This window comes from Homo sapiens, chromosome 2, assembly GCF_000001405.40.
Source record: "Homo sapiens chromosome 2, GRCh38.p14 Primary Assembly".
Taxonomy (NCBI): domain Eukaryota; kingdom Metazoa; phylum Chordata; class Mammalia; order Primates; family Hominidae; genus Homo; species Homo sapiens.
In genome coordinates, this window is record NC_000002.12 from 205697447 (window position 1) to 205721815 (window position 24369).

At 45.5% G+C, this 24369-nt stretch overlaps 1 protein-coding gene across 16 annotated transcripts in view, besides 7 other annotated features; it reads left to right on the forward strand.

Moving 5' to 3' along the window:
* NRP2 (neuropilin 2) overlaps positions 1-24369 on the forward strand; it is a 115631-nt gene that overhangs the window by 14946 nt on the left and 76316 nt on the right. For all 16 annotated transcript variants that reach the window (XR_007083522.1, XR_923057.4, NM_201266.2 and 13 more), the window contains 2 exons: positions 98-275; positions 18747-18928. Coding sequence is in view for 14 of the 16 variants with exons in the window: in NM_201266.2 (NP_957718.1) it covers positions 98-275; positions 18747-18928 (360 nt within the window). In the remaining 2 variants the exon portion in view is untranslated. The remainder of the gene's footprint in view (positions 1-97; positions 276-18746; positions 18929-24369) is intronic.
* Positions 3133-3302: an enhancer, noted in NCBI's record as "active region_17018". NCBI's record gives its function as "activates an Ori minimal core promoter by ATAC-STARR-seq in GM12878 lymphoblastoid cells {active_cell/tissue: GM12878}" and the evidence as "EXISTENCE:reporter gene assay evidence [ECO:0000049][PMID:35858748]".
* Positions 9156-9295: an enhancer, noted in NCBI's record as "active region_17019". NCBI's record gives its function as "activates an Ori minimal core promoter by ATAC-STARR-seq in GM12878 lymphoblastoid cells {active_cell/tissue: GM12878}" and the evidence as "EXISTENCE:reporter gene assay evidence [ECO:0000049][PMID:35858748]".
* Positions 9506-9805: an enhancer, noted in NCBI's record as "active region_17020". NCBI's record gives its function as "activates an Ori minimal core promoter by ATAC-STARR-seq in GM12878 lymphoblastoid cells {active_cell/tissue: GM12878}" and the evidence as "EXISTENCE:reporter gene assay evidence [ECO:0000049][PMID:35858748]".
* Positions 10681-11457: an enhancer, noted in NCBI's record as "H3K4me1 hESC enhancer chr2:206572851-206573627 (GRCh37/hg19 assembly coordinates)". NCBI's record gives its function as "activates a minimal SCP1, AML or CMV promoter by ChIP-STARR-seq in primed H9 embryonic stem cells {active_cell/tissue: H9 hESC(primed)}" and the evidence as "EXISTENCE:reporter gene assay evidence [ECO:0000049][PMID:30033119]".
* Positions 11749-11908: an enhancer, noted in NCBI's record as "active region_17021". NCBI's record gives its function as "activates an Ori minimal core promoter by ATAC-STARR-seq in GM12878 lymphoblastoid cells {active_cell/tissue: GM12878}" and the evidence as "EXISTENCE:reporter gene assay evidence [ECO:0000049][PMID:35858748]".
* Positions 22797-23362: an enhancer, noted in NCBI's record as "OCT4-NANOG-H3K27ac-H3K4me1 hESC enhancer chr2:206584967-206585532 (GRCh37/hg19 assembly coordinates)". NCBI's record gives its function as "activates a minimal SCP1, AML or CMV promoter by ChIP-STARR-seq in primed H9 embryonic stem cells {active_cell/tissue: H9 hESC(primed)}" and the evidence as "EXISTENCE:reporter gene assay evidence [ECO:0000049][PMID:30033119]".
* Positions 23363-23926: an enhancer, noted in NCBI's record as "OCT4-NANOG-H3K27ac-H3K4me1 hESC enhancer chr2:206585533-206586096 (GRCh37/hg19 assembly coordinates)". NCBI's record gives its function as "activates a minimal SCP1, AML or CMV promoter by ChIP-STARR-seq in primed H9 embryonic stem cells {active_cell/tissue: H9 hESC(primed)}" and the evidence as "EXISTENCE:reporter gene assay evidence [ECO:0000049][PMID:30033119]".

A 24369-nucleotide genomic window follows, 5' to 3' on the forward strand; every position in this document is an offset into this window, starting at 1 on the left:
TTTAATCAGACACTGGTACAGAAGAGAAGGAGGGAGTGTGGGGGGAAGAAAGTTGTAACATATTTGAAGTTCTTTGGGTCGTTGATTTCTCTTTCAGACCCACCGTGCGGAGGTCGTTTGAATTCCAAAGATGCTGGCTATATCACCTCTCCCGGTTACCCCCAGGACTACCCCTCCCACCAGAACTGCGAGTGGATTGTTTACGCCCCCGAACCCAACCAGAAGATTGTCCTCAACTTCAACCCTCACTTTGAAATCGAGAAGCACGACTGCAAGTAAGCACCGTCCTGTCCCACTGTGTATCCCATCCATGAGATGCACACGCCCTGCCCCCACCCCTGCTCTTGTCACTTCTATCACCCCTCACCCCAAGACCTGCTGCTAACCAGTGGTGGATCCTGGCCCCAGAGGAAAACCTCAAGGGGCATTCCCTTTCCAGGGAAATAAAGGTGTGGCTGATCCCACAGTATGGTGGAAAGAGCCTTCTTGAGTGAAAAGTAGAGAATATTAACCTACCTCCAAAGGCCGGTAGTGGAGGAGAATTTCCATGTGGTGGCAGGGGCTGGACTACAAAACTCTACTCTTGACTTTGGGTTACCTTGCACTTGGAGATCTCCCCATTTCCACAGCTGCTACATGTATAAACCCCACCCACTTCCTTAATAAGATAGTAGCTGTATCCCCAAGTGGAGACTTCCCTCGCATCCAGCCACGCAGGATCAGCCTGTTACCTTATATAGCGGTAACTGGTTTTCTTATAGAAAAAAAAAAGGGTAAAAAAAAAAAAAATCTAAGTAGTTCTAAGATTCACATTGGTTCTTGATAGCTGTGCTACACAAGTAGAGTCTCAAAGTCAGTGTCATGGATTTATTTAACAAACACTCTTCTAATTGCATTACAAATATTAATCCATTTACTTTGCACAGTGGGCCCTGGGAAGTTAGTGCCATTATGATCTCCATTTTGCAAAAGAGAGAAAACCGAAGCACAGAGAGGTTAGGTCAGTCACCCAAGGTGACTCAGCTGGTCTTACAACATTGGTTCTGCCACCCTGGAAATGTGTGGCTTAGGAACTCCCAAGTGGACATTTAGACACTTGGGAGTACTTTAGAAATGCCATGTTACTACCGAGGTCCCTAAAAGTTAAGGTTGGGAAGCAGGCAGCATGTCTAGAATGCAGATGTGCTTTAAGCTGTCTACTGAGCTCCATCTTAAAGTCTTTTCTCATTGGAAATAAAGTGAGAGTTTTTGTGCAGAAAAGAATGTGCCAACAGTCATATTCTGCCCCAAATGAGCGCCTACGGAATGCTGTTACTCTGATAAGTATTCAGTGCTCCCATGTGATTCATAAATTGTCTAAGCATTCCTTGCTATTAAGCAAGGAATTGCAAATACTGAAAAATTAATAAGGGGGCCAGCTGGCAGGACAGGTACCAAGGAGAAGGCAAAACTCCTACAGGCCAGGTCTGGGCCAGCACTTCCTCATGGAGGAAACAAGGCCCCTCTTTAACTAGTGCTAGACTGTGAGGCTCAGTGAATTGATGTCATTATTATCCCCCTAGGGCTAATTTGCACCTACATAATGGTTTTCTCCTAACAAGAGGTAGCCTTTGTTGAAAACCAAAGGGTTTCCCGGATGAATGCCTCATGTGACGAAGAGTCATAAGATGAAGTTTCTAATCCCAGATCCACTCTTGACTCAACGGATGACATAGGGAAACTCATCAGTTCCTCTTTGTCTAAGTTACATGAGTACCCTGGATACATTTGCTCAGCATCCCAAGGCTTCTGATTCCCTGACAGTGAACTTTATCAAAGATTTCTGTTAGAAGAGCTTCTTTATAAGGTGTTTTGGGCTCTGATTCCTCTGGCTGGACTGCAGAAGGTTGGCACAAATGGAAGCATAATGTACAGAGAGAGCCTGGGTCTAAGCTCAGAGAAATTTGACTAAGCACCTTTCTCTACTAAGGGCCAAATTCTGTTATGCTTATGACAGCAAATCTCCCAAGGAAATTGCCAAGAGGTCATCCTATGTTGTATTCATAGTGGCAGAGGGAGAAAGCATGGCTTTTGGAAGGAAAAACTTAGGAGCTAGTAAGCATGGCTTAAAACATGTTGGGAAGGACGAAAGGCCAGAAAGGCCCTGCTTTGGGTTGCAGGGTACCCCTTCCATGGACAGGACTCAGTCCCAGAGATGGGGAGAACTGAAGGTTGCCAGAGACTCTGACAAGGGGAAGAAGAAGGCATTGCCCCTTGCTGGAGGTGGAGTAGGGGAAGCCAGCAATTTACAGGGTTATCTTCTGGCTTATCATCCTCGCTAAATCACTTCCTGTTTTTCTCCCCATTCCATGACCTCATGTGTCTGGTTTGAACCTAAAAAGTGAAGGAGGTCAGAAAAAAATCTTTCTGGGGTCTGTTTCTCCCAGTGCCAAACTGTCAGAGAGGCTCTGTTGGGATTAAGCCTCATCCACTTAACCTTGTCATTAATTCTCTGTTCCTCCCCCCATTTCTCCCCCACTCCCCATTTCTCTCTCTTTCTCTCTCTCATTAATTTTTGTATTTAGAAAGACTCATCTGGTTTTCTCAGCCTCTCACTCTTCAAGGTATTTTTGACATTTCCCCTGGCCATTTGCATTTGCCATAAATGGGCTTCCCCTCCCCACTGCCTTGTTTTACTTTCTTGTGAAAGGAACAATTAATCTAATTGAAGTCCTGGAAGTTCTGTCTTGTTCCGGCTCTCCCTCTCTCTTCCATACTGCATTTTCGTTCCAAGGGAGCTCCTGGGTTTGGAAAGCACTCACTCTCCAAGGAAATTAGCCTGCTTTCTCCTTTTATTTTGGGTGCATGCTTCAAATTGGATTTGGCTCTGCAGGCCCATAAGGTGGATACTTCCCAAAAGAAAACTGCCTGGGCTGGTCTTCCGATCACAGAGCACAGCAGCAATGCCCCAGCAAAAAGGGGAACTGAGCAAGAAAGTCAGGAGAAGCAGCCAACTCAGCTGTGGAGACAGAGCAGTGGTCAGCACACCCAACCTCGTGTTTGCCCGGGTTCTTCCTACGTGCAGGGTTAACTGCAAAGATTGCCCCAAAGCCTGGAAACAGGGCCCTGATATGAAAGAATTTATCCTGGGCTGTGGCCCCTGGGCCCTTGGCTCCCTGTATACCTTGAACTCTACATCCCAAAGGTTGAGACGGTTGCTGAGTAAACCCCAGATAGACCTTTTCCCCTAACCGTTGCTTATTAACTTTGTTCCATTGAAGCTTGCTGTCTGCTTGGAAAATTTCACTCACAAGCCGCAGCTTTGCCTGACTCAGTGCAATCCAAGGCCACCATCTCTGGTGAACTTCCCTTGACTCCTCCCTCCAGCCACTTGCAGAAATGCAAATCCTGGGCACCCACAGGCTGTTTGGGGGCCTGTATAGAAGCTGTGGGCAGAAACCAGAGGCCACTGTGGTACTGCTGGACTCCTGCAGCCAAAGGACAAAAGGGCGAGACTACGGGCCGTCTGGGCAAACAGAGAGAAGCCACTTTATTCCCTGTGGAGTGGAGGATGCTAGGATGTTGCTGCTCCGGCAGACAGAGGCCTTTCGCTTGAGTCATCAGCCAACAGACTGAATGTTATGGTTTTAGAAACCCATACACAAAGTTGAGTGGTTTTTTCCATTTCTAAAATTTAAAATGTATGTATTTTTAAAACACCCACCTGCATGTAATACACAGCTTGTTCAGGAGTTCTCAAACAGCCCCAGCACCCACCCCATCCCAGAGGCTCAACCAAATAAAACCAAAACCAGGAGGCTGGGTCCTTTTAAGCACTGGTAATTTCTACCTGTAATTCCAGCCCTTTGGGAGGCCGAGGCAGGCAGGTCACCTGAGGTCAGGAGTTCGAGACCAGCCTGGTCAACATGGTGAAACCCCGTCTCTACTAAAAATACAAAAAAAATTAGCCAAGCTTGGTGGTGCGTGCCTGTAATCTCAGCTACTCTGGAGGCTGAGGCAGGAGAATCACTTGAACCTGGGAGGCAGAGGCTGCAGTGAGCTGAGATTGTGCCACTGCACTCCGGCCTGGGTGAAAGAGTGAGACTCTGTCTCAAAAAAAAAAAAAAAAGAATTGGTAATTTCTAGATGGGTACCTTGATGGGTCTCAGAAAGAGCAAAACCCACTAGCAAGAAATGAAAGAACATTTCTTAGGCTAAAATCCTCAAGGAAGTCTACATAAATGATTGTATGTGCTATGTTCAGCCCAGCAATATCTCATATACCACGTATCATTGAAGAATGACATTCCATTTAGGTGAAGTGTCCAGATACTGAAATATCCACCTTTAAAGTTCTTAAAAGAGAACTTTAAAGAGTTCCAAGAGTTCTTTTTTAAAGGATTTCTGATAAAGAACATTCTAAATCATGTGCTGCACTTCCCTGTCTTTTTAAAACCTACATTGAGAGGAGTCAACTTTTTCTCAATGATTCAGGCTTTTAATTCTAAGCTTCACTTTTGTGACAGCAGCCAGTATTGCCATAATTGGAACAGGCAGATTAAGATTTGAATTTTTATTGACCTTTTAAACTTCCCAGGCCTCAGTTTCCTCATCTGCAAAGCTGTCATAATAATAAATATCTTGCAAGATTGCTCTGCCTTTTTATGTAGATGCCCAATAAGTTAGCAACTGTGTTAGCATCATTGGACTTTGTCAGGGGACAGTTTGGGACTATTTTCTATCAATCCTCCTGCTTTCACACATCCTGTTACGAGTATGCCTGTCTCCTGTAGCCTTCCCATTCTGACTTGTTTTTGCTTTTTTATGGGGTTATCAATTTTGCTTCAGGAGCCCTTGCTGTCTCTTGGGAAGTTTGAGTTCTGGGACCTAAGCTTTGCTCAAGCCAGTGCAATCCCAAGGCCAGCATTTCCAGTTGGCTTCAGCCAGCCAAGCTTGCAGCAGAGTTAGGACTGGGGAGTGATCCCCAAGTGACAAAGCGTAAGAGCAACAGAGGATGGAGTTCTCAACATCAGTGTAGCTGCTCACAATCTTTTTTTCTGAACTCCCCCACACCGTTATATTCTGCATATTTAAGGTTTTGGATATTTGCCTCTAAGTGTCCTAGATAAACAAGGTGCTCTTGTGTTTATTTACAGCCAGAGGGGCCCTCTATATCTTAGAAGATATGTCTGTTTCTCCCAAAGTAAGAGATGATATCTTAGAAAGGTAGCAGTTTCCCAGTTGATAACCTGATCATAGTAAACAGAGAGATCAGACCAGACCTTAGTCATCTGGCCCCTCCCCATTCAGCCAGCAGTGTTTCCCTGTGCTCAGTAAACACCCTCGATTCCCTGCAAACAACCAAGCATAGTCTTGCATCTGCATGAGCCCCCTGAGTTCCCAGGGCTCCAGCCCTCCTTTCCCTCCCTCCACAGTGTCCAGCTGCAAGCTCCCATCTTCCTCCCCTGAGTTTCCTTGCTTCCTGCAGTTCCCTTTTATCACCCTTTCCTCTGAACTCCCAGAGCACTTGATGTTGCCTGAGTCCCTTGCTTTTTGTTCATATGTGGTCATCTTGAGTTCTCAGCAAGTAAATTCTACAAGGGCACAAAGCATGTACTTCATATCTAAACTCCCATGGCGCCTAGTCTAGGAGGGTGCTAGGCAGGTGTGTGCAGGTGATTTCGTGATATTTTTTACATTGGAAATGCCAGGCAATAGGTCAGCATGAGCTGAATCTGTGTTGGAAGGCAGACAGATCTGTGTTCCCTATTTGTCCCTCTGGGAATATGACATAATCTTAGGGGGTAGGACACAGGCCAAGAATGTCACTAACTGATTTGGGACATGAGTCTCTCACCAACAAAATGGTAATAGACCATTCATTCATTCATCAGGAAATAGCTATTAAACACCTACTATGTGCTAAGCACGTTGGTATTATTGGGAATACAGTGATGAATAAATCATATTCTTTTCCCTAAAGTCACTGTTACTCTTTCCATTTTACAGATGAAGAAACTTGGGCTCAAAGAAGTTAAGCAACTGGCCCAAGGTTCTACTCCCATAAGTGGCAGAGAAGGGTTTTGAAGCCAGATACCCTAGTTTTCAATCTCTGCTTTACTCTTGTGCTGTCTGCCTCCCCGGCATCATGCATTTGGCAGGGGACATGATATGGACCTGTTACGTGGGCCCACAGCATCCAGGTCCAGCCTAAGCTGGGAAGATCAAGGAAGGCTCCCTGGAGGAGGTGACGCCTATACGAATTCTAAAGAATTTGGCCAGGCAGCAGGGAGTGTGTTTGGCTGGTGTCATAGGCAGACAGCAGCATGCCCAAAGACAAGAAGGAGGGAGGGTTTGATGCCTTCAGGAACCAAAATAATTGAACATGCCTGAACCCAATTTCTTAACCAGTGAGCATTGTAAGGGTAGACTAAAAGGGGCTGTCCTTGTGACTTGCTGACACAAACCCTTTTCCCGGTGAAGAGGTGCCTGAGCAATACTATTTAATTGTATTTCCTGGCCAGACAACTTCCACCATCTCCTTAGGAGACAGGGTGGTCAGGAAGCAGGAAAGACTAAGATGATGGGGACTCTCTGCTGTCCCCACCTTCCCTGTCCATTGTAGGGTCTCTGCAGCCTCATACCCTATGTCCAGCGACCTCCCCCACCCCGCCGCCAGTGGAATGCCTGAAAGTGGGGTTTGGCCTGGGAAAGTCCAGGTAACACTTCAGATTAAGCTCCTCTTGTCAATTTCCTGCTACACAAGACTTTCTGAATCCAAGTCTCTTTCCTATGAATAGAGGGCGGGAGGCCAGATTGCCCAGTTGGAGGTGTGGCTTCAGCTGGTCTCCGTTGAAGTCTGAAAAGCCAACAAAGCATAGTGAGAATTCTGTGTGGTTCAAGAGGGTGCCTTGTGCTTGTTGAGGAGAGGCCGTTGGCTTGATCACTCACGACACTATTACTGACGTTATTATTTACTGCCTGCCCAACCACAGAAATATTCTGATTCCCCTAAGGAGCCAGTGAGCAGTAATAATTTTCTGTATTGCAACAATCCTCCTAATGACAGAAACAGATCCACCTCCAGGTACGTGGTGGACGAATGGGAGCAGCTGGCTGCTGGCCCCACACTTACCAACCTTGACCACAGGGTCCACCCAGCAACTCCACCTCACCCATGGATCAGGGGGAAAAACAACTCACAGACTGTTCTCCTCTTACCAAGGTTAAAACGCAGCTGGAATTACTTTGGGCAGTTTGTTTTTAAAAATGAGTGTTGCAATTGTAACTGTCTCAATGCAAGCTTCGCTGTAGATGCCCTTCTTAACAATATGCTTTATCTTCTGACTGAGAAAATCACTTGAGATGTTATCATGCACAATCCCACTTGTTCTGCCTCTCCACCCTGGCACCTTCTCCGAACCCAGAGATCCCAGAGGGCCAGCATCTCACCCCATGTAACTCCATGTAATTCTCCCATCTAATTACACCGGCTGAGAGTCTGTCTTAAGAAATTCAGTGGGAGCTCCAGGTGTGGAGGGGATAAAGAAGAGATGGAAATATACCAAGTGAAAACATCAGATTTTTCTAAAAAGGGATTTGTGTATTTTCCTGGAGTCATGAGTCCTATAGAAAAAAATTTATATTCTTTTTGTTTTGTCCTTTTTACTGGCAAGGGATTTAAGCCTTTGGATTAAGAGAAACTCAAAAGATAATTTAATTCCATTCTTATACTTCTGCCTGGATAAATAATTCCAGAAAAAAAAAAAAAAGATATCAGCTGCCCTTGTCTTTCCTTCCAGAAAAGAGCTTCTGTAATCGTCCTTCATTATGGGACATCGTGCCTCACAACTCATCTCAGTTGATTGCAGAGTAGATGGTTGTATTTAATTTACATAATCAAAATTTTTTTCCTAGAAGGAGAATCCCTGAAAAATGTTAGCTGGGTCAAAATAAAATTTTCTAAAAAGAAGAAGGAAAAGGAAAAGGAGAAAGAAATGTGAGTTGGGCTTAGGTTTGGGAGGGCAGCAGAAAAGCATGACTTTTTTTATGCCTCTTTTCGAGCTTTGTAGCCAAGCATCTTGGCAGTCTCTAATATTTTTCTACTTTTTCCCACTGGGGACTCAACTGTATGTTTGTGGGTCACGTGGAGGAACTCTCAAAATTAGACAACAATAGCAAACATTTATTGAACTCTTGCCAGACATCAGGTCCTACCCTAAGTTTTCTATGTTTAACCGCCACAGCTGGTACTGGTACTACTATTATCCCATTTAACAGATGTAGATACTGAGGCCCTGAGAGATCACACAGATAGTAATCGTGGGGCTGGGTTTGAAGCCAGGCAGCCCAAAGCTGCCTTTGTATACCTGTGTCAATCTGCTTGGAGCTGTCATCTGCTGTCCCAGTGCTTAGGTATTTGGGGCCTCTCTGATTTCTTTAGATATCCTTGACAAGCCTTTTCTTTTCCTTTTCTCTTTTTATTCCTTTTCTTTGCCTCTTCCTGCCATGCAGTCACCTCCGGATGCCAGCGGGGCAGTCAAGGAGAGAGATCTCTTTCTGTGTCTTTAAATACAAGCCAGAGGCCTCTCAGTCCATCGTCTCTCTCTGCCTCCCTGTCACCTACCTCCTACTCCCCCAATCCCCCCACAGCCCCGCTCACCATCCTCTTCAAATTCCCTGCCATCCTCACCACCACCTTCACTCTCCATCTGGAGTCCAAAGATGTGAGGGCCAGTAATAGAGTGTCAGCGGAAGTAATTGATTCCTCACACCGAGAGAATTCGCCTGCCTTTAGTGTCAATGGAGCTGAACCAGAGTCTTGGAGGGTGAGCGAGACATGTAAACAGTCCGTGGCCGAGCTGTCAGGACGAAGCCAGACACACCGGAGAGTGAACGAGGGGGGAAATGGTGGAACAAATAATTGTTTTATTGGAAAGGAAAGGAATAAATAATATTTCAGCCCAGGAACTGGCAGTTTGAAAGAGATGGTTGAGAGCTTGGAGCAGAAGGATTCGTGATGCAGGTTTTAATGGAAGAGATTTTCTTTGTCTCAAAGTAGGAGGTTTCGTCCCCACCCGACCCCCCTCTCCCATTATCATCATTATTATCATTAAAATAATTACTGTAACAATTACAGTTGATGAGACCTCAGGTTTATACAGCACCTTTCATCTAAAAGTTCAAAGCGATTTATCTATGTGTCATCTTTTGAGAGTGGTAGGAGGGTAAGAAACTATTATTTTGGGGGGTCATCTGCTGGGAAACTGAGGTCCAAGCAGATACAAGATTTAGTCCAAGCCTCAGGGCAGGCTGCTGGGTTAAATGGTGGGGTACTGAGTTATCTTCTTGGGGGCCTTTTCTGCTGTACTCTTCACTGCCTGGGCCTTTATACACACGTGGCTCTTGAAGCTCATCCCCGGCACTGATGCCTCCTCCCACACTGCCAGGGCCTCCACTGGTCGCTACAATATTGTGGCCAACCAGCCAGAAGCTCTGTGCGCAAAACAAACAGCCTGCTTCTGGCTGTGAGATGAATAAAGATCCTTCAAGGTCTGACTCACACAGCTCCCATCCTGCTTAGAGACTTCCTGTAATCTGGTTCCCTTTCTTGTAGAAGCTCATGTCCTTTCTAAACATCTTTCTTCATGGTCTTATGAGGCTCTAGCCAGGAGCACCCAACATTCCTAAATGCTTGCTTCTTCCACCCCCAACAAACCCCAACCTGTTCTCTCAGAATGGAAAGGGCATTTCTGGGATGGGGAGAGAAGGTGAATGCTTTAACATGCCTCACATGGCCCGGGCTGCCTGTGCAGCATGATGCTTCAGAATGCAGCTGTCGAAAGCATAGTCACAAACGGAAGCGGTTCCAGCTGACTGGCCCCTGAGTGCTAGATTCAGAATCTCCGCCCTGGCGTGGCAGCAGCCCTTTCCTGCTTGGACATTAGTGCAGGCCCATCATTTCCACACCATGGTGTTTTTTGCACAGTAGTGACAAGTTTGCCCCTGGAGCCAGGAGAAGCTCCAAGCTCTGTAATCTGAAGCTCCAAGTAAATGAACTCTAAAAGGGAGGCCCATCACACCTGCCACCTACTCCCAAACTGTCCCCTACTTGGATTTCTGCATGGCACGTTTTTCAGATGAGTTTTGCATCTTCCAAGTTTTGTTAGGGAGGCTGGATGCCAGCAAAGAGGAATAGAAAAATGATATGGAGCCTAAATCCCTGGAAAAACAAAAAGGACTTTTCTGTTGCTGTGGTGGATTCCCTGGTGCCCAGTACACTTCCGTTCCCAGCAGGCTCCCGTTTTTTGGACAGACGGGGAAGTTATGATTTGCCCTCACAATTGGATCCCCTGGGAGCCAGAATTAGTGTGAACACCTATTCCGGAGGGAACTGTTCACCCTGCCGAGTAAAGGGGCACTGCCAGCACACCAGGGGCCCCAGACGCTGTGCTCTGATTGCCCTTCAGTGACCACCCATGCAGGCAGCCCCACCGGGCACAAAGGCATGATTCCTGTTCCCTTTTGTCAAATGAGGCCAACTGAGGCACACAAGCATGATTGATCCAGGCCAGCGTAGGAAAATTTAGTAAGTCCTGGCCCTGCTGGGATTCACCTTTACACCTGCTAGTGCTGCTGCTGCCGCTGAGAAAAACAGAAATGGAAAGAAATTGTGGACTACTCTTCCTTTGCACTCTGGTATCATTCCAGAATGCTACCAAGGGGCCCTTTAAGTTGACTGCAGAGGGTGAGGATTTTATAGACACAGAGCAGACCAACGAAAGACCCAACACTCATGCTGAAAGCAGCCTGCCCCCAAAGCCTTAAACTTCACATTGGCACCGGTTGCCTAGAAAACCATTCCTTACATAAGCAAACATGTTTCATCCAAGTGGCCTCCAGTGTGTGTGCTGGTCCAGAAGCAGAGCAGACCCGTGACCACACGGCCTCAGGAATGCGCCTTGCTGGCCAGCCAGGTCAGCGAGGGAAATGGTATTCACCCAAAGGACCAGTGCAGAAGTTGGGGAGGCTTTGTTGCGTGCCCTTAATTCTCTGAAAGTTCACCTTCAGAGAGACTTATCAGATGCGTTGTCTGGAGTGGCCTCCTTCCTCACGTCAGGAGGCATTCTTGGCAGCCTGCTCCATGAGGAACAATGAGATTGGCGGGGCCCTCACCATCATCGCAGGGCCTTTGCGGAAAAAGAGCCAGCAATTATAAATAGATGTTATTTGTCGTTTCCATTTTCTTGCCTTCAAGGTTTTTTGGAATAATTCCTTCAGTTTGTTTTGGGTTATTCTCTCCGTGTACTTCCTTTGGTGGGTGGTCAGACTTCCTCCTTTCTGAAGAGCCATGGTGACCCTGGTTGTGAGGGGATTGTGGATAAGAAGCTCAAAATATCAGCGATTTGTGGTGGGAAGAAATGAAGGAAGAAAATACAACTGCAAACAGCCACTATTAAAAAGGCGCTTGGTACTGATGCAGATACCCAAACAAATACAGAGTTTGGTAACTGTTTGAGCCCTTGGCGTTAAATAGCAAACAAGAATAACAGCAGCAGTAACAACAAATGGCTATTCATGGAGCATGTACTGTGTGCCATACACTGTGCTGACCCATTGATATGCATTAACTCACCAGCCTCTTGGGAGCTTGAGCACCTTGCTATCTAAGACAGCAGATGGAGGACGGGTGGTTTTGAACATAGCCTGGGCTCAGAAACACAAGTTTGAAATAAAATCTCGAAAACTCAAGTGTCTGAAACACTGTTGATGGATTTGTGCAGGGGGATGATTTTTTAGAAACCCAGCCCCAAGAAGCAGGGTATTGAGACTGCCTCTAACTGTGCTTTTCGTTTCATCTTCTCCTGTCTGGCTCCCAAGGTGTCATGTGTGTGTAACTCTTCTCTTCTCCACATCCACCATCCTGTTTTGTTTTATGCTGGTAATAATAAAAATAGCCAGGGGCTCTCAGGTGCTTCCTTAAGGCATCTGGCACTGTGCTGGGCCTGCATGTACCTTCGCAATCCTGCCACCACCCGCAAAGGTGGAGACTGTTATTATGTCCATTTTGTAGATGATGAAACTGAAACTCAGAGAGGTTAAATACCTTGTCTGTAATCACACCATGAGCAAGTGCCAGAAAGTAACTGGGTCTGTCCACAAAGCCCACATGCTACACTTCCCAGGTTACACAACACCCTCTTAGGTATGTTTCCGTTAACAGTAATTTAACGTTTCTTTTGTCACAGACCTTTTCCCTAGAAAAATGTGCCTACTCACAAACACAAAATTTCGGCAAACAAAGATAGAGCTTCCCCAACCCACTTACACTTGTGTGTAGGCCCTAGGAGAAATCCCCGCATTTAAGAATATGTGCTCTAGATGATAACTTAAGAGCTTATAAATATATGGGATGCTGCTTTCTCACTCCATGGGCCATATGTTCACATATGGATATATATGTGCTTATAAAAATACTCCACTTACAAAAATTAATATGTTATCCCATCTGAACTCTTACAAGCTAGATTTCTGCTGGGTGAGTCTTGAAATCATGGATTCCAAATCCGCTCACTTTTCCTGTTGGTGATTTGTCTATTAATTTTGGTAAGTCCTTCAGCCTTGTTTAAACAGAACAACTCAAAAGAGCAAGATTCTGTTAAGTCTCTTACATATCTTACACCCATTTTGTGGAAACCTAACTGAGGCCCTAAGGATTCTTTACACCTGGTACCTGCTAATGCTATTGTGCTATGGCAATCCGGTATTTTCATTGCCCTCAGATCTTCCTCCCACAAGGAGACAAAGGGAGGAAGGGAAGGTCTCTGTGCCCTGGAGTTTGACTACTTGGGTTCAATGCCTGTCTCTGACCTTTCCTCCTCATGTAACCTTGGGCAGGTCACTTAACTGCTCTGAGCCTCGATGTCTGCATCTGCAAATGGATGGTAATTGTAACAGGGCCTGGTTTGGATGAAATGAGGATTAAATGAAATAATATCTGAATCAATGGCCTGGCCCATAGTAAATGCTCAATAAAATGTGAACAGTTTGCAGATATACCAGCTTTTTAGTAAATGGGTGGTACAGATGCAAGGCAGAAATTCAAGGAAATGAAATTTACTTTAAAAAGTCTGACCTGACAGTGAGCTGACTTCTCCATAAAGGCTAGGTGACTGTACTGAGCCTAAGGAGCAGGTGGCCTGGCTTCAGGCCTGAACCGACCAGAGACCTCAGCATTGTGCAGATCTGCCTTGCAGCCTTTTTAGACATCGTGCAGCTTCTTTGTTGGGAAGTTGTATGTGACAGTGCTGTTTTTTTTCCTCCTAATTTCCTCACAGGTTTTAATGTAAGGATTAATAAGACAGTGTTTGTAGATGTCTTTGAGCCTCCTGGAAGAAAGGCACTCCAGGAGGTGATAAATTCTCTGGCCTGGATAATCTACTCATGAAATATGGAACTTTGAAAGTGTGAGAAAAATCTCAAATCACTTTGACAGCATTTTAATTATAGTTGATTTGTTTGCCGCTAATAGTGAAAATGCTGTCAGCATGATTTGAGATGTTTCTTCCACTCAAAATGTTATATTTCATGTTTTTGAGTCACAAGGCAACATTTTGGTTTTCAGATACAACCAGAATAGCTCAGTAAATGTGTTGGGGCACAAAGACAGAGAGTATAAAATGGATCAAACTCCACGGAAAGCATCATCGTAGCACGCATTCTTCTCAACATGGAACACCAGCCTGAAGTCCCTTATTCATTTACATTTATTTACTCAACAAAAAGTGAATGAGACCTCCTACATGCCAGGCACCAGGGAAGTGTCGTAAATTCAGCAGTGAAGAGGCAAGGTCCTTGCCTTCATGGTGCTTATTGTCTGGTGCAGGAGACAGATCATAAACAAATAGGTATATTGACAAGACCTTTCCAGATTATAATCATAGCTATGAAAGAAGTAAGATGATGGTGAGATAGAGAATAAGGGCATGCCATCTGAAATAGGGTGGTGACAGCAGGCTTCTCTGTGGAGGTAACATTTGTCCTTAAGCCTGAAGGATGAGCAACAACCAGCCCTGGAAAGCACCAATGAGGAGTACTGCAGGCAGAGGAAAGAGCGCTTGCAAAGGCCCTGGGGTTGGAAAGAGCTCACCATATACAAAATGTCTTCAACATCTTATGATCTTATGATGAGCAGTGTGAAAGGAGGCCTTGCTTGGTTGGCAAAGGTTATGATGTCAGGACTTGGGCAGAGATGTTCTGATACGTAGACCCAAAAGAAGGGGCAGAGTATTCTTCCTCCGAAGACCTAAGTACTCTATCTTCGATACAGAAATCCCCTTCCAAGTGGTTCTGTGTGGCATCCCTAAAGCTGGATTCTGACAAGGGCCAGACATTTCGGTGCCCTGAGAGAAGGACCTAAGCTTGGTGAATCTTCCAGCACAGGCTCCGTTGACTAACCCAGCCTTTGGTGCCCTGCTGGGAAGTGTCAAGCGTGGAGACAGTTATGGAAACTAGAAAGCCCTTTTTCATGTTTGCCTAGTGATGAGAGGAAGAGATGAGATTGTTGCTTTTTCATATCTCTCCCGTGGACTCTTAAAATTAACTTCACTGTCAAAATTTCCCATGGCCCAAATGTAGGTTTGGGGAGAGAAATGTAAGACTTTGAAGTTGAGAAAGAAAGTAGAGAAAGCATTCTCTAGACAAATGCTCACCATGCAGACTTCAGAATCTGTGAGGAGACAAATAAAAAGGCACTCGGGGAACCGTTTTAGAGAGAAAATAAAGAACTGGGAGTAGAGATGGCTACTTCAGCTCAGGAAAAAAATAAATAAAACAATACAAGGTAGTGTTAAAGCTTTGAAAGGAATTTTTCGTTTAGGAGAGATTATGGATAATGAAATGCAAACACTCTAGTTAATATGTCTGTTAGCTGGTTTATGTTGCCTTCTGGAAAACGAGTGATACGTTCTAAGAGGAGCAGCTTTTCAAGTTATCCTACTTGACTATCGTTGGGGTGAGCTCTGAGTCTGTACCCCGGATTCCTTTACCAAACACTGGATATTAGACACTAGATGCAAAGCCGTATTTATTCCAAAGCCAGAAACTTCCTAAGCCTCTGCCTAACTCTTCACAAATGAACCTGACAACACTGAAATTTCTAAGGAGATTTACTCCAGCTGTAGCAAATCCCTCATAATAAAAAATTTCCCCAAATGAGTCAGTCACACAGGAGGTAAATGAGACATTCTGTATGAAGTCAGCATGTCATTTGGAGTGTGCCCTTTATATAAAAGGCCCAGCCAGAAGACCATGTGGTTAAGTGGGGCTTGTCCACAGGGCAGAACCAGAAGACTGGAAGTTGGGGGGATTTCAGCTGCCGAACTGTAACTCTGTGTCACTTCCCCTCAAGCAAACCTTATAGAAAAATCTAGTTTTTCTAAGAAGTTCAAGTAAGGTTTGTTGATTATTTGCTTCACAAAAGGATTCAGCAGAGGGGTCCTTTAACTAACAAGCTCAGAGAAAAAATTTATAGTATGATTGAATTATATGAAGCTTTTTCAAAAATGCATCCCTTCTCTATATGTGTGTTAGATACATAAGGATGTATTTGTTGCAGGCAGCATTACAAGAAGGGATTTGGGGTGGTCTGTATCCGTTGAGTAAATTGAGGCAAGCTTGTAACAGTGGCATTTGTTGGGCAGCCCTGCTTCATTGCTGATTCTGTTAATCCCCTAAATGACTCCATGGGTGATTAGGCAACCAGATAAAACCCTCTCACTTCTGATGAACAAGCCAGTGGGATGGCAGGGCCTCTCTTTGTCCTTCCTAGAGAAATTGGCAACACAAAGACTGGAACTATCTGGTGAAGCTTTAAAAAAAAAGTTTAAAAAATTATTTATTGAATGTGGGTCATGTCCTTGGCACTGTTCCAGATGTCCCGACCTACTGTGTCTCATTTATTCCTCACTCCAGTTCTGTGACATGGATGATGATGGTGATGATGATGAACTTCCTTCTACATCTGCTAAATCATGACAGCTGGATTCTTTTACAAAGAAGAGAGAAAAAATTACCAATTATCCTACCACCCATGTCTGTCGCCATTGTTCATATTTTAGTAGTCTTTCAGACTTCCTCTGTATGTTTATGTGAGGAAATGTATGTATACCTTTTAAAACATACTTTTAAAAAATCTCCTTTTTAAAAAGTTAACAGTATAGCGTGAACATTTTTCCATAAAAACAAAAAATTCTAGACCTGCAGACTATTGATTGTAGCAGGAGAGTATTCCATTTTATAAATATCCCAGATGGATTCACCCTCCCTCTACGGTTGGGCTTTGAAACCATTTATAAGCAAAATATCCTCCCACTTTTTATATTTTTTCAAAATATATGCACAAAGATGCATATGCATCTTTGCACAATTGTCTGATTATTTTCTTAGGAAAAATTCCTAGCAGTAGGATTGCTGGATTAAAGGCTATGTACATATTAACTTCTGTCACATTTCACCAAAATGCCTTTCAGAATGTTTGAACAGATTTCCATTCCCGCTGATACTACACCTCTGCTCATTTGTTCCATTTCTGAAAACAGGGTCGCTTCTGCTCTGTGGCTCAGCCTCCTTGCCTGTGAAATGGGTGTGAAAATACAACAAATCACAGTTCACATTTACTTAGCACTCACTGAGTGCCAGACTATGGACTAACACTTTAGATAGATTAGATTTTGTCATTTAAGTCCCACATCAACCCTAGGAGAAGACTGTAATATCCCTACTTTACTCTTTTTCTCCCCATTTCTGAGGCTCAGAAAGGTTCAGTAACTTGCCTGAGGTCACCCAGCTAAAAAGTGGCCAAGCTGGGGTGCAAGCCCAGCTCTGTCTGCTTCTGGGATTGGGACTCTTGCGCTCTGGGCCATGCATTTCTTAGTCCAGATGAGTTGTCTGATTAATGAACATGGGTAGCAGAGCCTCTCAACCTTTGTGCACATTGCCAGGGCATCACCATTGCTCACAGGAATGTGTCTGTCCAGCAGTGCTTGCCTTAGTGTGAAAATAGCACGGAGGGGTTTTCTGGAAGGTTTGGGAGTTTCCCCTGAGAACAAATGAAGCGTCTTTTTACTTTTGTTTTGGAAATGAGGAAGCATGTTTTCAAAGTCAGCACCATCTCCCACACTGAAACCACAGACCTAAACAGATTCCCCAACCTCACGGTCTTCTCAATCTGTGACCATCTCTCCATTTCTCCCTGGGGGTTGAAACTGCCATTTTGACTTCTCCAGACTCTAAGGAGCTTCAGCGGTTCTTTTTGGACTGTGGGAGTCCAGCCCTGTGGGGTCTAAGAATGAATTAATCCTGGCCCACTCCTTAGACTTCCTTTACAGGCCTATTATTTGAAAGTGGCTAAGTAACATAGCTCCTGGGGGCTGAAGTGAGGCCTCAGGCCTCCCCAGCTCACACCAGCCACTCCTTCCGGCAGCCGGCAACCCCAGATCCTTGTATGTGACAGGATCCTTTGGCAGGCACATCCCACAGAAGGGTGCATTCCCAGCCCTCTCCTTACCCGCAAGGAAGAGATTTCTTAAGTGTTGCTTTAACAGGTTGATGCAAAATAAATAAACAGAAAGGGAGGGAGAGGGAGATGGATGGTTTTCAGTAAATAATGGTGCAGCGGCCAGCAGTTGGAAGGGAGCTGGTGGGAGGAAGTTTCCCACCTAAGCAGTTGTGACAGGAGTATTAACTGGGAGCCCAAAAGCAGCACAAACGCAGCACAGTGAGGACTGCCAGAGCACATACCGGGGCTGGAAAATGTGTGTCTGTCAAGATAAAATGGTGCATTATGTTTGCACCTTCCCATGAACGGAGCCAAGGGTATCTTTGAGGTGCCTGCTTCCCAGCCCTGGCCAGTTTGACTCTGCTTCAAATGAGCACAGGCCTCCACTTCAGGAGGGCAGCCTGCCCTGCCTCTCACTGAGGCTAATAGTTGTGTGCACGTAGACAGTGGGCCCCTGGAGACTCACCCCTGCTTTTGGAGAAAGGTTTTTATCGCCTTATCTAACATGAGGCTGATTCCTTTTAAGAACACATGTTGACTAGACACTGCTGATGGGAACCTCGCAGAGTCATCTTAGGGAGGCGGTGGCCCACGGGTGGGGAGTCTTTGTCACTAACAATTAAAGAAGGGATGGCCCAGGGGAAAATTGAAACAGGGGGCTGGAGGGAGATGGGAAAATAAACAAATGTCTCTGAAACATCCCCCGTGTGCCTGGCACAGTGCCTAGCCCCTTACATATATATTTTTTTTCATTCTATCTTCTCCCCAGCCTTGTGGAGTGGATATTTTTATCCTCATCTTACAGATGAAGAAATTGATGCTCAAAGGGGTTCAGCAGCTTGCAATGTCACAGAGCTAAGAAGGAGAGACTAAGATTCTGAGAGAGCATAATGGAAATAAAAATGGTGCTATTGAAGGAAGAAAAAAATGTGTTTTGTGATATTTGATAGAACGATGCTCCTGCTCTTACGTGGGCAAGAGATAAGGCCTTCCAGCCATGTGTTTATTCACTCTGTGGCTTTCACAAAGCACAACGACCTGCAGTATCTCTGTTTGCCAGTCTGTACAAGCAGACATAAGTGCCCTTCGCTTATCCATCTGAAACACCTTAACTTCTGCAAATGAATAGAGAGACATAAGTGGGAGCGACACAGTGGTCCTTCTCATGTCCTTCGAGTGATCTTTTCTTGTCTGTGCCATCCCCACCCAGGTATGACTTTATCGAGATTCGGGATGGGGACAGTGAATCCGCAGACCTCCTGGGCAAACACTGTGGGAACATCGCCCCGCCCACCATCATCTCCTCGGGCTCCATGCTCTACATCAAGTTCACCTCCGACTACGCCCGGCAGGGGGCAGGCTTCTCTCTGCGCTACGAGATCTTCAAGACAGGTCAGTGTGGTCACACGTAGGGGCCGGGAGATGGGCGTCTTAGAGAAGAAGGAGGGACAGCACCCAGTGGGCTGAGGCACTGGGTAAGGGTGACAGTGTCATCCAGCTTGAGCATGGTGAGAGGTTCAAGGTGAACCCACAAACATCATGAGAAGAAGAGCCAGCTCAGATTATCCACCAGCTTAAGGGGGCGGGCTGTGGGCGGGGGGGTGGGGGTGGGGTCAAAACAGCCATTGTTTGTGGTATTAGACAAACAGAAAAACACTTCTTGAAAGAATTGGATTTTTGTATGTTTTTTAAAATCAAAATAATCTTCATGGGAAAAAGCAAAACTCTGATGACTTTCTCACGATTACTTCATGGTCTAATGATGTCTTTATTTGGAACTACATGGGGCTGAGGACATAATCTTTTCATTGTTTGGAGTCTCTAAAGATCTTGCCATGACCTCCCAAATGGGGTCACACCATAGCTTTTAAATTAAAATAAGGTTCCTAGAAATTCCCCTTGGCAGTCCATGTTACCACCTCTGTCCATTGAACCCCTACTCTCTAAATGCCAATGAACTTGACTCCCTGAAAAGCAATCAAAAAATAGCAGAAAAAGAGTCAGAGGGCACTGCACTTGCTTTAAGTTGACTGCTTGATTTCCATCAGGTCCCCCTTAGATTACTTTAGGGCCTGAGAATATGGGCCAGTGCTCATTTCCAAAACTAAATACAGCAGACTTTTATTCACAAGACCCCGCTTCATCAGCTACACTCAAGCTCTCCCAGTGGTGTGTCCTCTTCTGTGATGTGTGGAGCTTGTTATCTCGAGGCTAAGGGAAGCATGTCCTCCAGTCCTCCCCACCCACCACCCACTCCCTTCCTCAGAGGCTCCCCTTCCATCTATGTGTGTGTCTCCCCTCTCCCCCCAGCAGCCCAAGTTTTACAACTCGTGGATGGAGTCTGGTTCGAGGGGAGGTTGTCAGCCTTGTCATCAAGAGGCCCAAGACCGGCGCCTGTTGAGTTCAGTGTGAGGGGAACTATTCATATATATTTTCTTTTTCACTAAACAGCTCTTGAAAGGAAGTGGTAGCTGCTGAAAGCACTTTTTATATCCACTCTGTCTAAATATTTGTCGGATTTGTCTGCCCGAGAACAAGAACGTGGAATCAAATGAAGGGGTGGGGCAAGGGGACTGTGTCATGCAAGAGTGGCAGCCCAGGCTGCTGCAGGGCACAGGTCCCAAGAAGGTTTCTCTGCCTTGGGTTTTCATGCTCCTGACTATGATGAGGTCACAGGGGCTGACAATCTGTGTGTCCAGTGGCTCAAGCTGTTGTGAGGCCCCTGAATAGCTTGATCCATATTCCCCTGAGTCTTGTGCAAAATTCAGATCAATGCCACCAGCACCAGTGGAGCATCCTCTGCTGCCGAGCAGTGGGGAGAATAAAAGAGAAAGAAATAAAAGGGGATGCTTGCTCTCTTCGGGTTGGAGAGGCAGGTGTGCAAACCCTTTGCACGTAACAGATTCGCAGGTGATGTTATTGGATGAGTATGTATGTAAATTGAAAGGAAAACTATGATATGAGGCAGAATGAATAAGTGCAAAGTAAAGGTACAATTGACATGTGGTGGTTATGAAAATGGGGGAGCAGTCAAGTGGCTTAGCAATCGAGGGGCTCCAGAGAATCTATTCAATAGCAAGGTCCCTAGTGCTAATGCTGCCACTCGGCTGCACTGTGCTGGCCATGAAAGGAAAACAGCTCCAAGCAAGATCTTCCAGGAAGCTGGCCAAGGGAAGTCAGAACAAGGGTGAGCAGGGCCATGAAAACTCAGCCTTGGTCTCACACCACCCAACTTAGTATTTCACAAGGCATCATGCTACATTCTCCAGAAAGCCACAGGAAAAGTCAATGTTCACTCTATCCATCATGCAAATTTGAAAGGAGGATATTAAAAGATAAAACATGTAAGAGGGTATCATAATTCAATATCGCTGTCTTGAGGACATGCTGAAGCAGGATTTCAAATGAAGCAACAAGTCTGTGAACTGCCTAGAAACAATGGTGCCAGCCAACGGAGCTAGGTGGCTTCAGCTTGGAGAAATGGGGTGGCCTGCTTTAAGGATTGGGGTTGCCTAGTGAAGAGATTGTAAGAGAAAGCCCTGCCAACAACAGCCACACTCCTGGCAATGTAAGAGAGCAGATGAGAGCCCATAGACTTCTCAGGGCCACTCGTACCTGCCGTCATACCCACCTGCTGCTGGAAGAGCAACTGTCCGCATGACAGTCAGTCTTATATATGCCGGGCGCAGTGGCTCACACCTGTAATCCCAGCACTTTGGGAGGTTGTGGCAGGCGGATCACCTGAGGTCAGGAGTTTGACACCAGCCTGGCCAACATGGCGAAACCTGGTCTCTACTGAAAATACAAAACTTAGCCGGGCATGGTGGCACGTGCCTGTAATCCCAGCTACTTGGGAGGCTGAGGCAGGAGAATCACTTGAACCCAGAAGGAGGAGGTGGCAGTGAGCCGAGATCATGCCATTGCACTCCAGCCTGGACGACAAGAGCGAAATTCCATCTCAAAAAAAAAAAAAAGTCAACCTTGTATAAAGTGCAGAAATGTGCAAGGGAGCAAAATTCAAAACAGAGAAGTTTAGAAAAATGAGCATTCATGCAGGTGCCTTGTCCTATACCCACATTTCCATTGTTGGAGTCAGGAGAGAAAATATACAAAGTTTACGTCATCCACAGAACATGAAAGAAATGGGTGGACATGCTGAAGAAATCCAAACAAACACAGCTATGTTTGCTAGTCGGATTCATAGAGAGGAAGAAGCGGGGGAAACTGTAAACACAGATACGCAAATAGCCATACAGAGGGCTCTAGAAGCCTTCGATGGTACATTACCCTGGTGAGGCTCTGCTGTAGGACCCACAGTGTGAGTGCAGACCAGGGCATGTGGCTGGCGTGGAAGGTTCATGTCTGCCCTAAGTGAAGTGGTGTATAAAAGATTCTATATGTTACCAGACTGTCTACATTTAAAAGGGTAAGCCAGAACAACTTACATACTTAAAAGATCTCAAATCAAGATACCATGAGCAGAACAGAAACAAAAAAAAAAAAAAGGAATTTTTAAACGTAAAATGTCACATTGAAAACAAAATCAGTGGAAAATGTGTGTGTGTGTGTGTTTGGTTTTTTCCAGAAGCTCCTTTAACCATAAGTTCAAGATTAGGTTTTCTTTCCTGTTTGCCTGTGACACTTCAGAAACTGACATTTTTGGGGTCATTCACAGAGGTAGAGAAAACTCGGAGTGCCTACTGCCTCCACTTCCTGAATTCAGGAACTGAATTCACCTTCTGCGGGGAAGGCAAACTCAGCTTTGGGTAAATCCACTGTGTTTTAAATGTCTTGATACCTATAGATTCTTCTACTTGCAGAGTTATTGTAAAATTCACAGCGGAAAAACAGAGTGGACATTTTTCATAGCAGAGTCTTTTCCTATGAAATCATTCGCTGCAACCCAAATCCCCCAGCTTCTGTAGACAATCTTAGCCTTGAGTGGGCTTGAGTATTTGTTGACTTGAGTTCTTCGTTTAACCTTTAAACCTTCTAACACATCTCAGAAAAGGATCTTGGATAAGGCAGATGTCTGCAAGAGCCAGCCAGCTTCTGCCTCCTTTTCTGAGATCTCTTCCTGGCATCTGCTATTCAGCTGCTTTTGTGATGCTGCAAACAGTGAGATGGTACGATTAGAGATGAATGCATGATGTTAACAGACAGGTTTTATTTTTCTGCATAAAAATAGATAAAACTGGACAAAAGTTTTTCCACCGCCTTCAAAATAAGCCAAAGGATATACCCATTTATAGCCATATATCAGAAATGCTTTTTTCTTTCTTTTTTTTTTTTTTTTTTTTTGCCTTAAGTACCTAAGGTTGAAGTTTCTTTTCAGTCAAATGCAGGAGCTCAGGACCCTGGGAACTATGGATACTTTCAAATTTCACATTCTCCAAGCCTCTCTTAGACTCACTAGATGTCCATCGTGGAAGCACTTGTGCCCTACCAATGACAGGAACCAAAGAAAGATTCCGCCAGAAAATTCCCCACTCCCAGGGGGGTGGACATTCCCCTTGCCTTCTAAGGGAATGACAATAGAGCAAGCTCTAAGAGGGCATGTCAGGATGCTCTTTCTAGCTCTCAAGCAAGAAGTGAATAGAGAGTTAATTTCCTCACAACCATGTGTGAGGCTCAGCTGAGTGGCCCGCATGAAGAATGCTGCACAGCAGCCATAAACTCTAACCTTTTCAAAATTCCTCTTGGCCCCCTGAAGACCCGCCAGCTGGCTTGGCTTTGCTGAATTGCCTCATCCCGGGCCATTGAGGAGGCCCTCAGGAGTCCGAAGCCCAATCATAAACAAAGCTGGGGGAGGCAGCCCCAGCTCATCCCTCCAGGACTAGCTGCCCATTGAAAACTCGGCCTGACCTGCTGCTGCCATGCATATGAATGATGGGGTGCAGAGCCTCTGAGATTCGCTGCTTAGAGCCTCCACAGAACCCATGCAAAGGTTAGCCCTTGCCCTCGTGTGTTCCTAGTCCCTACCCTGCCAAAGCACAGCACAAGGTGGAAAGTAGGAAGTGATGGATGGATAGGTAGGAGATACTGGAATTTTCTGTCTGGTGCTGAAGAAAGTTGCAACTCCTCCATCCGCATTTATTTGCATGGCACTTCTTCCAAATCAGACATTTGCCTCTTTCCAGAATGCTGTCATCAATAAAGAGACTCAATGAGAGGCCCCCTACAGGAGCTGCGGATAAAGGCATCGCTGCAGGCTCAGATCAGTGTATTGACATCACCTAGTTATATTTCAGTGTGAGCCCCAGAGGACACTTCCTGACAGTAAACACCCAGTTTATCGAGTATTTCTGGTTGGTTGTGTTTTTTATGCTTAGAGTGTCTATTATCCTCCTCAAAAATCCTGCTTCCTTTTCTTCTTTTAAAATCTGAACATAACGAGTGAAATCAATTCTAATTGTCCAGCACTTTCATTCATTGCGTGAATGTGCATGAGCTCGTGCTTCGTGGGTCCATGGGTCTGGGTTGCAGTGCTCCCGGGACCCATCTGTGGTGCTGCCCTGGCAAATGGTGGCTGGTTAAAGCACAAGGACCCTTTTAATATGACTCCACCTAGAGGCATTAAGAGATAGGGTGGCTGTAATCCTCTTATGAGCTCCTGTTCCTGCTCCTGCTGCCATCCAAGCTCGCACCAGGATGCGAATGTGTGCCGCATTTAATCAGGATGCCTCCATGCGTCCCAAGAAAGCAGACGCAAGAGCTCAGGAGAGAAACAAGGCCATCCACACCACAAAGGAGCCAGAAGCCTTCCAAATGTCAATGCACTGCTGCATTTTTCCAAACTTGTTGCCGGAGCGGCCTTTAACATCCCCAACGGC